The 15027-nt window shown below is 34.9% G+C and overlaps 1 protein-coding gene across 1 annotated transcript in view; it reads left to right on the top strand.

Annotated features, from left to right (window-relative positions):
- PSME4 (proteasome activator subunit 4) overlaps positions 1-15027 on the top strand; it is a 106925-nt gene that overhangs the window by 23860 nt on the left and 68038 nt on the right. The window contains exons 4-9 of the mRNA NM_014614.3: positions 7134-7178; positions 9594-9743; positions 10307-10370; positions 10973-11047; positions 12407-12529; positions 14374-14466. Of these exons, the coding sequence (NP_055429.2) occupies positions 7134-7178; positions 9594-9743; positions 10307-10370; positions 10973-11047; positions 12407-12529; positions 14374-14466 (550 nt within the window). The remainder of the gene's footprint in view (positions 1-7133; positions 7179-9593; positions 9744-10306; positions 10371-10972; positions 11048-12406; positions 12530-14373; positions 14467-15027) is intronic.

The raw sequence follows: 15027 nt of genomic DNA, 5'->3' as shown, positions 1-15027 counted from the left end.
CTAATTGGTTTTTGGACAGTTTTGCACAAGTAAGGTGGTTAGAAGTCATTTATTTCTTGAAAGTTTCATGTGTTAAAACAAGGAAACTCATTTCAACCATAAAAATAGCAAATTTTATCACGAAATAGAATAGTGCATTGTGCAAGTATGCTTTTACCAATATTTGTTAGGTTTTCCTCCCTCCCTCCCTTCCTCTCTCCCTTCCTTCCTTCCTTCCTTCCTTTTTCAGGGTTGCTCTGTTGCCTAGGCTGGAGTGCAGTGGCAAGATCTTGCATCACCACAGCCTTGACCTCCTGGGCTCAAGCAGTCTTCCCGCCTCAGCCTCCTGAGAAGGTGGGACCACAGGCGTGTGCCACCATGCCTGGCTAATTTTTAAAATTTTTTATTTGTAGAGACAGGGTCTCTACACAGGGTCTCACTGTGTTGCCCAGCCTGGTCTTGAACTCCTGGGCTCAAGTGATCCTCCCGCCTTGGCCTCCCAAAGTGCTGGGATTACAGGCATGGGCCACTACACCTGGCCCCAGTATTTTTTAAGAAAACTCAAAATTGAATACAAAAGCTTTGATTGTAAATATTCCTTTTGGGTGTTATTTTTGCCACAGGGACCATGACCTATACTGGTTTGACTGAGTCTTCTTTAAATAAGAGGTCAGGGAATTTCTTACTGGCTTCACCATTTCAGATGAGATTGGGCACATTCAGGGTGGTATGGCCATAGACAGGCTTCACTATTTCATAGATCTCAGGGACCTTTGAACTGTGTTCAGATCAGTTATCCTTCTGAGATGTTTCTTGCTGATAATTTTGGCTGCTTCTGAAAGTATTTTGTAAATGAAAGGAGGAGGTAAGGCGGTTTCTTCAGTGATACCCTGTTCTTCAGTATGCCTTCTTGCTGCTTCATAACCAAGCGTCCTACTTTCCTGCCTTAAGGGTCTACCTTTGCAAAGGCACATGCTGCTTTTAAAGTCCTTTGTGGTCATTAATAAGTATCTATGGCTTTCCTCTTCAGTGATAAGAGCTGTTTGTCTGGAAATTTTCTATTAGTATTGGTCAGTCAGTGCTTATTGATTATGTTTACCATGTCTCTTCCTAAAGTGTCACATCATCCTTGTCCTTAAAAGTTTTACCATGGCTGTTCTTGATCTTTTGAAGAGACGTTGTGACTGAAACACAGCACTGACTCTCAACTCTTAACAGACTCAGCATTTCATTTTGTAATTGTAATTATTCTAAAATAAAATTTATAAATCATATAACCTACCTATACTCATTACCTACACTGTGACAATTTTGAGTTTTTTCTTCTTAGATATATTCTGCCACATTTTGAAACAGTTTTGTCAGCTGACTACATGTGTTCATACTATTTTTAGAATGCTATTTTTATAATCAAAAGTGAAAGATTGCTTAATTTGTTAACTGTCTTTCAAATTTTAAACTCATGTGCCTTATGTTTTAGTCCTTATTGAAATCACTGCTTAGAGCGGCATGTGTTTCAACATGATTTTAAAAGCTAGTTCTATTGTTTGAAGCAAAGATTATCAACTTTCCTCTCTTCCCTTCCTCTTTACCTTTCCCATCCTCTCTTCATCCCCTTTCCTATCCTTGTTTCCCTCTTTTCTTCTCTTCCTTCCTCCTTCTAGCTTTCTGTCTGTCTTTTTGCCTCTAGGACAAAAGACCCTTTTTAGTCTCTTTATCCTCATCTCAGTCTACTTTCTACTGGAGAAAGAATTGGTAGTGTTTTTTATTCAATAGAAGAAGTAAAATTGGAAAGGAGATGAGTGTGAACTAATTGTTAGCGATATAAGAATTATTATTTACTTTATAAATGAAGCTTTTGAATCTTATGGACATGGTTTTATTTTATAAAACAATGTCCCATACACTTACTTTGAGTAGCATATTGCAAGTTATAGTATAGGCAACATACTAATGGTGTTGCTACTAACAAAATATGGGAGAATTATGCATAGGTATGCTTTTACAAATGGGCACAAACAATTCATATTTCAGTTGCTATGTGTATAAATTTGTTTATTTAGTATTACCACTAATTTGGTTTTTGTGGGTGGTAGTAAAGGTTTTCATATTTGCATCATGAGTAGCTTGGGCCTACATAACTTGTTTACTACTTTTTAAAATTTATTTTTAAAAGTATCTATTCTCTTTTACATGTATTGTTCTAAGGGTATCATATAGTATTATATTTTCATTTTTTTCATATTAATCTGCCTCTGGAGAACCAATTTGATATTTTATTTTTCTGGTATTTGTTTATGGCATTTGTTTCTCTATTGATTTATTAAAGAGCTATTTGAATTGGTGCTCTTTAAGATACAGTTAAATCCTTTGTCCTCAGCTCCCCACACTCACCACATGGAAATGACATTTTCCAGACCTCTGTTTGGGGTTTCTTGGCACATGTGGCCATGCTTAGGAGTTTAAATTACTACCAGCAGCTCATGGATGATATGTAATTACAAAATTTAATATGATAATCAAATGGTGAGAAAAATTTCTCCTAAAACTTGTTGAAATTTAAAAGATTTTATGGTTGTAAACCACGATTATTAATATGATATTTACAATTATTTTTTAATGTAGTATTTGGAGAACATCCTATTTATTTAAAAAATATTCTTTTATTTGGAAATTTAAAATTTTAACAAAATTCGGCTGGGCATGGTAGCCCACACCTGTAATCCTAGCACTTTGGGAAGCTGAGGTAGATGGATCATCTGAGGTCGGGAGTTTGAGACCAGCCTGGCCAACATGGTGAAACCCCCATCTCTACTAAAAACACAAAAATTAGCCTGGTGTGATGGCGCATGCCTGTAATCCCAGCTACCCAGGAGGCTGAGGCAGGAGAATCACTGGAACCTGGGAGGCAGAGGCTGCAATGAGCCAAGATCATCCCACTGCACTCCAGCCTGGGCTACAGAGCCAGACACCCATCTCAAAAAAAAAAAATTTACCAGATTTTATTAATGATTTTGATAGTGTTTCTCACAAAAGTTGTTTCTGTGCTACAGTGTTCTTTCTTTAAAAACTGATCTTTTAAAAGCAATTTTAAAAAATACTTAGTTCAAGTTGATCAGGCTTATTGTCATTTAAAACAATTATGTATGCTCTTTTTACATGAGTGGTAAGGATTATTATAATTTCCTAACCCTTGCCCTAAAAGTATACTTTTTAAAAGTAATTTTAATGAAAAGTCAATGTTAATGTGCATCAGCAAGGAAAATGCTATACTTATTATTTATACCTTTTTTTTTTTTTTTTTTTTTGAGATGGAGTTTTTTTTGCTGTTGTTGCCCAGGCTGGAGTGCAGTGGCACAATCTGGACTCACCGCAACCTCCGCCTCCCGAGTTCAAGCGATTCTTCTGCCTCAGTCTCCTGAGTAGCTGGGATTACAGGTGTGCGCCACCACACCCAGCTAATTTTTTGTATTTTTAGTAGAGATGGGGTTTCATCATGTTGGCCAGGCTGGTCTTGAACTCTGGACCTCACGTGATCCACCCGCCTCGGCTTCCCAAAATGCTGGGATTACAGGCATGAGCCACTGCACCTGGCGTATTTATACCTTTCTTTATGGTGAAATTATCTTGGCCCTAATTTTGAGTGAAGTGGCAATGAAAAATGACTACTTACTAGTTTAACTGAGCAATCAATATTAGATTTTGAAGATAAGATATGAGATGGATAATGTCTAACTAACTTACGGTGGATTTGTTTGGGTGTAGAGAAGGCAAGTATAACTGACTTCTAGATGAAGTGCCTGGCACAGGTTTAAGAAAAAGAAATACTGTATAAACAGTTACCATTAAATTATAAAGGGATGAAGGCAGATATATACAGAATAGTCCATCATTACAGTTAAAACCAGTTCATTTATGAAAAAGCAAATATTATTCTGAAGTTAAATTTTAGTTCAAGAACTGTCAAGTGAAGCTGCAAGTACTTCTGGCTATGAGCAGCCTAGTTTACTCTCATCTTGAATATATCATTTGCTATACTTTTCCCTGGTTTAGAAGTGAATATTGTCCTGGTAGAGCCAAGGGGGCAGGAGGCATAAATCTGCAAGTTTATATGGTTCACTGTCTCAGTAACTGGAGGCGAAGACTATTGGTTTTCCTCAGGCTTATCTGTTAGTATTTGACATTTACTTTGTTAATGGCATCATAAGGAAATCGAGGTCCAGAGAGGAAAATTCACACAGAATCATTGGTTGAAACTGGAACAAGAGCTTAAGAACTGGGACAAGAACTCTCTTTTTACCCTTAATAATAGGGTGGCAGTTGGGGAGGAATTTCCTATTTTGATGTGATTTCCTAAATCATAAATTAGTAGCTACTCAGAGGCAGTAAGAGCAAAATAAGCACAAAAGTTTAATTCTTAAGGAAATTGAGAATACAATTTATTATGGCTAAGTATGAAATAATAATTAACATTTATTATCCTTAATTCTGGGCCGTATACCTGCTTTCTATACCTTATCTCATTTAATTTTTGTAACAGCTTTATGAGAGGTAGGTATTATTGCTTATATTGATGAGAAAACAGCTATAATATAACTAGGAAGTAGCAGAACTGATACTCAAATTAAGATCTGTCTGACTCTAAGGCCAAACTGTAAACCATTATATGCACTACTGTGGCTTTCTTTTTCAACCTGATGTATCTTTTTAAAGAGGAAATAGGGTATAAGAAAACCCATCCAAAGCTTAGTTACTCTGTAGATCCCTTTTGATTTTAAAAAAAAAAACAAGTGTTTTGAATTGTTATCACTTTAGTATTATACATTTCCAACAGTTGGAAAGTATTTAGTGATTATTCACTCCCTCTAAAAATTAGTGAAATGTAGTCTAGTAGCATCTAGCCTTAACCTTTTATTTTATTTTTAAACAGAAACATTGTTCCCTTCATCTTGAGAGATTACAAGAATCACAAAAGGTCACTATACAGATATCACAGGTTAGAGAGATTGTACCCTTTTCTGGATAAACATCATAAATCCAATGGTACAGGCCTTATATTTAAGAAGGGGTTGAAATTGACTTTATTTAGAGTAACTAAATTGCATTCCCACATACCCTAATCCTCTAATAAGTGAAGTGACTCTATCAAGTGTTATAATTAACTTCCTATTCTTCTGAAGCGTGAAGGGAACTGAAGAAAACATGTAGCTTTGCAGCCTTTTATGACTTGCTTTCTAGAATCGTTTATGACATTATGCGAAAGTATATTGGTATAGCAAGGTCGTATGTGAAAACAGCAGGTTTTCTGTGTAGCGCAGAACCAATAAAATAAATGTAATATTAATGAGAACACAAGCATTAGTACTGATAGAATTATGTATCTTATGCTCATTTTCATGGATAAACAGTTTACAATTTTAGAATTACCTTTTAAAAATCTTCATTTAAATTGAGTAATTTAGTTTAAAACTAGATGACTCTTTAAACCTTAGCTGTTAATTCTATACTTTGTTACTAAAAGAAGACCCAAGATCTGTGCTTTTTGTTACTCTGATATAAAATGTTTATTATTACAAATCAATAGACAGATAAGTATAAATATATATGAGCAGATAGCCTTTTTATAAGCACTTTGGAAGTGCCCAGAAATAAAAATCATAGCTGTGGTCTTCAGGGAGCTTTAAACGTAGTTGGATAGAAGTTTGCCCTGTTTTTTTTTAATGGGCAAACTTAGATTTTCTCTAAACTGTGTTTTTGAATTGCTTAGCCTTTTCATAAGAAAAAGAAGAACCTCCCTCTCATGATCAGAGACAGTGCTTATTGATGGCCTTTTGGCCATGTAGTTTCTTTTTTATTTTAGAAGTCATCTCATGTGTTGTAATCTAGTTGCCTCTTCAGTTAATTTTTCTCTGAGTAGTTTTGAAATTAAAGAGGATTTCTACTGCTCCAAGTAATGAGATTATAGTTTTCCTCTCTTGGTTATATAATATGTTGATTATTTGTGATGAGTTTGCTCTCTGTTATTCCTTGGAATTTCTTTGCAGATTAGTTCCTAAACTTTCAGAGAAGTTGGATAGACTTCTGGACTTAAGAATTTCAAAAAGCTTAATAAGAAAGTGTCAGGTGGAGACATTGCCTGAAACTTACTCCTTTCATATATATATATATATATATATATATATATATATATATATATATATATGTATATATATATTTATATATGTATTATATATATATTTAAATATGTATTATATATATTTAAATATGTATTATATATATTTAAATATATATTATATATATATAAATTTTTTTGAGATTTGGGGAATTTTATTTTTACTTGTACATATCATACTGTAAGTAGTCACACACGTATTTTAAAATTCCAGCTCAAAATTATCTAGTGCTCCATTGTTTATATTGTTTGTTTGCATTTGACCGCTTGACTATGATCTAGTAAATATTTAAATATTCCATTCTGGTCACGTGTTTAAACCAGTACACATTGGCCTTTTTATTAAAAAAGAAATGTGGATTATAAATTCATACACACATTTTTATGTTGGTCTCCTGTATTCACTTGAGGCAACTACATGTTGTAAAGTAAGTTATAATTTTTAATGTTACTCGACTAACTTTATAAGTATCTGCTCAAAGAGATGCTATTGTTCTTTTTGATAATTGTTGCTGGCCTTAAAGTGCCTGGGAGGGTTATCGAACTCTCATCAATTGGTTGTGAAAGCTAATTTCTGATGGAAACACCCAGATTTTGGTCTGTCTGCTGCTTGTGTTTTGATGTAAAAGTATTTTAGTAAAAATTATTTGAAGTTTTAAGCCACTGTGTTGATAAATATGGTGTGTGGTCATTGCTGCCTACCTTGTAAAGACTGAAAACAATTTGTTCTTTTCCCAGTGTAACCTTTTTTTCCCTTTAGTTCATACCAGAGACAGCGAAATGAGGGCAAAGGAAAGAGTAGATTAAGGAGTTTAGGTAGTTAATCCTTGCAGTTCCGTTTGTATGAAAGGGAAGGCTCAATTATTACATGTAAACAAATAATACCTGAATGTGTGAGGTTATCTTATAGATATTTATTAATTGAATTAGATATGTTCTTAAAATACACCAATCTAATTATCAAATGGCTTTCCCCCCCCAGTTCTGTAGAAAATATTCTCAAAACACTCGTGAAAAGCTGCCGACCGTAAGTAGCTTCTCAATTTATAAAGCCTCTTGTTGTTTCTGTGGGCTTTTCCACATCTTTAGTATGGTTTGAAAAGGAAATGAAAAGTATAAATAGTTCCTGACATTGTGATGTTAGTCACTGAGCACAACATACCGTTTCCAGTTCATTAACTGAACTTCTCAGATTTCATTTAGAAATTTAGAAATTTTAAAGTCATCCATTGTAAAGTAAGAATACCATACTTTACATAAAATCATCTTTATTTGGAAGCATTTCCTAGAGTATTGTTATTTGTTATTCAGACAAAAAATAGGAGTAATGCCAAGAAGGTGGTTCATAACTTTTTTCAACTATGTTCTGTAGAATATTTAAATATCCCATATTCTTTTCTTTTTATTTCAATATTTTTTGTAGAGAGTGGGGCCTTGCTGTATTGCCCGGGCTGGTCTTGAACCCCTGGCCTCAAGCAGTCCTCCCACCTTGGCCTCCCAAAGCATTGGGATTATAGGTGTGAGCCACCACTCCCAGCCAATTATCCTATATTCATATGATCAAAGATGAGTGTGGATAAAATTTAATTTTAATTTTTTTGGTTATCTTTAATTTTAATTAATTAAAGCTCAATTTTACGTACTTGAACTTTTTTTGTGTTGTTATCAAGTTATTCTAAGACTGTTTAGATGATATGGAATCAGTGACTCCTTTTTGGTGAAAAGCCATGTATTATATGCTTGTAATACTCATCTTAAATACATATTTAATAAATCGGATATTTATTGCTGACCTTCTGTATTACTCAATGTTGGGCAAATGTATTTTCGGAATATGAGATATCTGTCTCTCAAGCAACTTAAGGTTCACCCTGAGTCATAAGCCACCAATGAACAGTGTCATTTTATGCGAGGCAGTTACCTTCTTGGCCTGTGTTTCCTCACTGGAAACTTGATTATCACTTCAATACTTACTGGCTCATAGGTAATTCATAGAACTCCCAAGTTTTTATTTTGGATTACAGGGTTAACAATTGAATCAGAAAACTTAAGAAGGAGAATTGATCCTTGATATGTGAGATCTTTGAAGGTGGAGCATAGTTTGTTTTTGTTTTTTTAAAATTCCAACCTGTTACACAAGGACCTGACACATAAACGCTTTGTGAACTCAACAGAAGTATTCTTAGAAATATAATTTTATTTTTCACATAGAAGATTGCAGTATGATTTTAATTAACACAAGTATATGAAGATATAGTAGGATTAATAATATGCTGTGTGGGCCAAGCCTATAAGTCTATTTGAAAGAGTTTCCCAACTTATTTGGAAAGAATCAGAATTTTTCATATGCTGTTTGTATTTTAAACCTCTTAAGGCTGGGTGCGGTGGTGCTCTCCTGTAGTAGCAGCTACTTGGGAGGCTGAGGTGGGAGGATCACTTCAGTTTAAGAGTTTGGGTCCAGCCTAGGAAACACAGTGAGACTCTTGTCTTTAAAAAAAAAAAAAAAAAGCCCATTAAGGTGTATTTAGCAGTTTTACATGTATCCTCTTTATTTACCTTCATTTTGTGTGTATATGCACACTTTGGATTTTAATTTTGTCCAGGGACACTCCTGTCCATATCATACAGTTATGGAATATCACAGCCTGTAGACCAGATCATCTAGTCTTCTCGTATAGGGGAGGACTCTGTGTTCCAAGGAAGGTAAATGGTTTATTCAACATGCCTAGAGATTGCTGGACTGATGTTCTCTTTCTCGTCTACTGGTAATCCTTTTCCTGTTTAGACTGGATTCTTTTTGACAAGATTTTTTTTTAATTGTTACATAGCACAAAGGAAGTAAGACAAAAACTCTGTTTAATTTTATAGGTAACTGAGTGACTTGTATTTTATCTGAGTTTTATCAACTTCATAGTGTTTAGAAAAATTCCCTTAGACAAGAGAAGAATTTACTTTATCCCAAGTATGATGGGGAATTTTTTTTTTTTTTTGAGATGGAGTCTCACTCTGTTGCCCAGGCTGGAGTGCAATGGTGCAGTCTTGGCTCACTGCAACCTCCATCTCCTGGGCTCTAATGATCCCCCAACCCCAGCTTTCTGAGTAGCTGGGACTACAGATGTGCGCCGCCATCATGTCTGGCAAATTTTTTGTAAAGACTGGGTTTTGCCATTTTGCCCAAGCCAATCTTGAACTCCTGGGCTCAAGTGATCCATCGACCTCAGCTTCCCAAAGTTCTGGAATTACAGGCATGAACTACTGCACCCAACTGGGGCATTTATTTTAGTATTGTGAAAATGTGTGTTAGTTTGGACATTTGTAGACTGTGTTACATGCTATGACATATATTCTCCTCCTCCCCCAGCCTTTTGGTCAGTTATATATATTGCTGTTGTAGAGCTTTTAGCCAATAATCAGATACATGAAAACCTTCTTTTTTTATTAGATATTTTCCAGCAGATGCCACCGCTGAGATGCTAGAAGAATGGCGACCTTTAATGTGCCCTTTTGATGTAACCATGCAAAAGGCCATCACTTATTTTGAAATATTTCTTCCTACCTCCCTTCCTCCAGAACTTCATCATAAAGGTTTTAAGTAAGTATGTTCATATCTTGACAAATTCTAAAAATACGGTAGGAAATACAGATAAAGAAACTAGTAAAACAATAACAACTAGAAAAATCATTTTGCAAGTTCAGCCATTATTGTACTTCAAGTTTATTATACTTGAAGTGTGTTAAGGCTAAAACGGTTGTAAGATTGAAAGTAAAGAGATGACACCCAAATAAGATGAGGGCTTTAAGAAATTAAGAGAAAGAAAAAATTGTCAGAAGGGGTAATAACAGGAAAACAGATAAAAGGAGAAGGGCAGGGAAAAGGAGGTAGAAAATTGAAAACAATTGTTAAATAAGAATGGACAGTACTTAGTAATGAAGCAGAAGTTTAATCTGTGAGATCATATTTCTTAAATAAATTAGGAAAGGAATATTCAGACAAGAAATACCCCTTTGTTTTATTAAGTTTATAACTTCAGTATTGTTTTTTCTAGTTAACGTAGTTATCAGTAAGAATAATAGATTATAAAAAAGACAAAGCATAGCTGGCATTGAACCACTTTAAAATCACTTGCTATTCATAACAACATTTTTCTTCTTTAGACTTTGGTTTGATGAATTAATTGGCCTTTGGGTTTCAGTGCAAAATCTCCCACAATGGGAGGGGGTAAGTATCCCTTTTTCCCTTTCTTCCCCCCTATAGTTTTTTTTTTCTTTTTTCCCCCCCATACTTTTTTAATTTGGAGATAAATATTAATAGATCATTTGGTAAGTAACTTGAAGTTCCTTAGGATTGGCTGTTAGCCATGTTATGATCAGTTTCTTTTCAATTTTATATTATTTGTTGTATTCTAACAAAAGTATGCATTTATTTTGGTTTTATCAATATTTAGGAGTATAAGCATGTATTGTAAAATGCATGAAATGTAAGATCCCATTGTTTTCTTTGGTACCTGTACTATCATGCTGCTGGACATATAGTGGATATTTTCAGCATATTTGTTGGATTAAAATTTCCTTTTCTATATTCATTGTGGATGGTGCTTTGTCATTTTTCTTTTTAGAAGCATTTTAACTGCAACTGATTTTAAATGCGTGACATGAATCAATTTAAATTTGGAGGTTTTAAAAAAAACAAAGTCATAAACTATCTATTTAAGTAGATTGCACTAATGATTGCCAAAAAGAACAAATGGAGGAGGGGTGTGACTATGACACTTAAACAATAACAACAAATATATTAACTTTGTCCTTTTTGTTTACTTTCAGCAACTAGTAAATCTCTTTGCTCGATTGGCTACAGATAATATAGGGTACATAGATTGGGATCCATATGTACCAAAGGTAATTAACATTTTGGGGAAAAAAATTATCAGGCATGGGGTGGTAGGCGCCTGTAATCCCAGCTGCTCGGGTGGCTGAGGCAGGAGAATCTCTTGAACCCAGGAGGCTGAGGTTGCAGTGAGCCAAGATTGCAGTACTGCACTCCAGCCTGGGTGACAGAGCTTGACTCCATCTGGAAAAAAAAAAAAACATTTTGAACATAAATACGATAGCACCAACAACAATTTTATGTTGTAAAGGAGAAACGTTTTTTCTATGCCAATTCCAAGTGGCACATAAAATTTTCTTTGATCATTAGTAAAAACATATATAAATAATTTACAGGGCTGGGTCCAATTACCTTTTCAAAAGGTAATTAGACCATATTAAGGTATCATAAATGTGTTTTCTTGTGCAGGGTATGAACTATCAGTGTCAAAGTAATTTGGAAAGTACTAAGTATATTATCGAGAGCATCATACATTTGTACCTTCCAATGGATTTTGTGTACCGTATTTGGTTGCTCCTCTACAGTGCTGCCCACTTTTTAGATCACAGTATATATTTTCTTAGAGTAAATAAAGCTAGATGTTCCAGGTGTGTCTTCAGTACTATTTCACCTGTGGTAGAATAACCTGTGGAGCTTGAGTAGGGCTTGTGGGGGATATCCTGGTGATTCTGATGCACACACTTACATTAGAGCAAAGCTGGGGAGTAGCTGGATGCAGATGCTCTGTTTGCTTTTGCTTGTGGTGTCTTCCTGTGTTGTTTGGCCATTAGAAACTAATTGTGGAAGAGAAATCATTTCTCCCCACCTTTGGGCCGCTACCTATTGGTAATGATAGAGTTGGAATATAAATTTAATTTTATTATAATTGTTAAGTGATTGACTAAAATACAAATTCTTAGGGAAAAATCAAATCACCATTAAAATTTTGAAAGGGAAAGCATTCTGCTAGAAGATACTTGCATTTAGGTTGGTGCTGTTGTGCATGCTTGACATGGAATAGGAGCTCAGGAAAAATTATTTGTGCATTTGGGACAAGAAAGAAGTCAAAATATTTCATGTTTAGCCACAGTATGTTTTTGTCTTTTTATATTTAGCCATAAATAATCACATTTGTCTGTTCTTTGGATACATGGACACAACTGCTTTATGTCCATGTGCCTCTGACCTCAGAGTGTCATACAGCACATCTGTTGATATTTATATGTAATTTTTGAAGAATAAAGCAAGTTACTAAATACTATGTAATTTCACTTAAAAACCCTTGTGATAAAATGAAAATATCTTCAGTAACACTAATATACAGCACTTACTAAGCTAAAGAATTATTTTGATACCTGTAAATATCCTTACTTATTTTTTTCTTTTAAAAGATATTTACAAGAATTCTGAGAAGCTTGAACCTCCCAGTGGGAAGCAGTCAAGTGTTAGTCCCAAGATTTTTAACAAATGCTTATGATATAGGACATGCTGTAATATGGATCACCGCCATGATGGTTTGTAATACATTATATTTGTTTTCTGTAGTTTACGCCTATTTTGTGTTAACCTTACAAAAATTGTGGATAGTCGCAGAAGTTGATAATAGTGGCTTGGTTGGTGACTTGATTCTTGGATATTTTCTGATTTAGCAAGCTCATGTTTATCAAATCCAGAATATAGTGGTACCATTTCTAAATCTCCCTAACCAATGGACATTATAAATAGAGTCAAAAATCTAGGGTTTTGAGGGATTCACGATGTCTAACATTTTTACTGTCCGGGAACCAGACTTGTAGCCCGGAAGACTTTCCCAAGGTAGGATTACAACTCAGGATTTGTATGTGCTTAGACTCCATTACTTACTCACTGTTAATATTCACATAAAACATTGCATTGAACATAAAGCTTACTAACAAAGTAATCTTAGTGAAGGGAGAGATGTGAAGGATTACTTTGTTGACATCATTAAAGGAAAGTGAAGACATATCAAGCTTAGATTTCAATGTCATCTTTCATATAAGAATATTAGAACAGCTTCCTATTATAATTATCTAGTTTATCATTCATATATTGCTTCTGCAGCTATTTCTTCATGAATTATTATTCTGTTTTACACGTTAGCTTGTTTCTGTGGAAAAGACAATTTTTTTTTGTTTAAAAGTTTACTTCTTAAACTTCATTGTAAGAAAAACAAATTTAAGCCCCCCCTTGTTTTTGCCATTTTATTGTTACACAGAAAAATCCCATTTTTCTTAATCAGTAGGAGCAAACACTGAAAGATGTTTACTATCTTACATATGCAGTGAGTTGAAACTGGATTTTTGGGGGCTACAGAATTGGATAGTGATTAGTATTAGTTATTGTGTGAGTGAATTTTGCTCTGCTTTCTCACACAGTTCTCATTGGCAACTTCATTTTGTGTTAAGTGTGAAAATATGGCTGAGTGCCATGGCTCACATCTGTAATCCTAGCACTTTGGGAAGCCGAGATGGAAGGATAGCTTGAGCCCAGGAGTTTGAGACCAGCCTGGGCCACATGGCGAGACCCTGTACAAGAAAACAAAAGTAAAAGTAAGCACGGGCATGATAACACATGCCTATGGTATTAGCTCCTCAGCAGGCTGAGGTGGGAGGATCGCTTGAGCCTAGGAGATTGAGGCTGCAGTGAACCATGTTTGTGCCACTGCACTCCACCCTGGACAACAGAGGGAAACGCTTTTTTTTTTTTTTTTTTTTTTTTTTTTGAGATGGTCTCGCTCTATCGCCCAGGCTGGAGTGCAGTAGCGTGATTTCAGCTCACTGCAACCTCCACCTCCCGGGTTCAAGTGATTCTCCTGCCACAGCCTCCCGAGTAGTTGGGACTATAGGCGCCCACCACCATGCCCAGCTAATTTTTGTATTTCTAGTAGAGACAGGGTTTCACCATGTTGGCAAGGCTGGTCTCGAACTCCTGACCTCAAGTGACCTGCCCGCCTCAGCCTTACATCAGGTTTTTTATGCCTGATGTTAGCATTCTTGGTAATTTTAAGATGATAATCTTAGTGATAAATTTTAGTATCCAGGTTATTTACTGCAGAACAGTAAAGTACGCTGTTTGTTATCCTAAGTTGACAGGTATTTTTTTAGTTTTTTATGTTGGTTCAAGTAAGCTGCCCTTATTTGCAGTAGAATATTTTGAGTTGGTTTGCATGAAGTTCATCAGGGAATTGTTTTTGACTCTTATTTAAAGGTAGAATTTATTTTTGTCAGCAAGTTGACTATAAACTGTATTAGTGATTTACGTATAGGCTTGGGCCTGTTGACCTCTGTTTTTACAGTATGATGTGGGTACTGACATTTTTACTCTTTTATCTGGACAGGGTGGACCAAGTAAGCTAGTGCAAAAACACTTAGCTGGTTTGTTTAACAGCATCACATCTTTTTACCATCCTTCAAATAATGGGCGCTGGCTGGTGAGTAACTTCGTTTTGCATTATAGGGCTTGGAATTTTTAAAGATATGGTCATCCTTGACTATTGCCTATTGTGTGACCTGTAATACATTTTCTGTCCTTCATAGCTTTAGCTATATGTAAATGCTTACATTTAAATTAAATTACTGTGTGGGAGAGCATATAAATTAAATAAATAATATTGATGTGGTAACTGTTGACAACATGGCTCATTTTTGCAAAAAAATGGTAACAAAAATGCCTTAGAAGCATAGAACCATCTTTTCAGTTTTATCCTGTCATCTGTTTTTGTTGTTTTTAAGTTGTCCAGTTAAAATGGCTTTCATGTAATGGAAAATTATGTGCTAGAAATTTTTTTAGACTGGAATTTGAAACTCATTTTCATTAATTATTAGGAATAATTAATTGGTAACTTTTAATTCTATCTAGTTATGCTGTGCAGTTCTTTGTAATAAGATAATAAGAACTGTTATTTTTAAAATCTTTTCTCAAGAAGCTAGAGAGCAACCATGAATGTCTATGCGGCAAAGTAGAACCTACTTAGAACTTTTTGCTTCTGTGT

Source organism: Homo sapiens, chromosome 2, assembly GCF_000001405.40.
Source record: "Homo sapiens chromosome 2, GRCh38.p14 Primary Assembly".
Lineage (NCBI taxonomy): Eukaryota > Metazoa > Chordata > Mammalia > Primates > Hominidae > Homo > Homo sapiens.
This window is presented reverse-complemented; position numbering and strand designations above follow the sequence as displayed.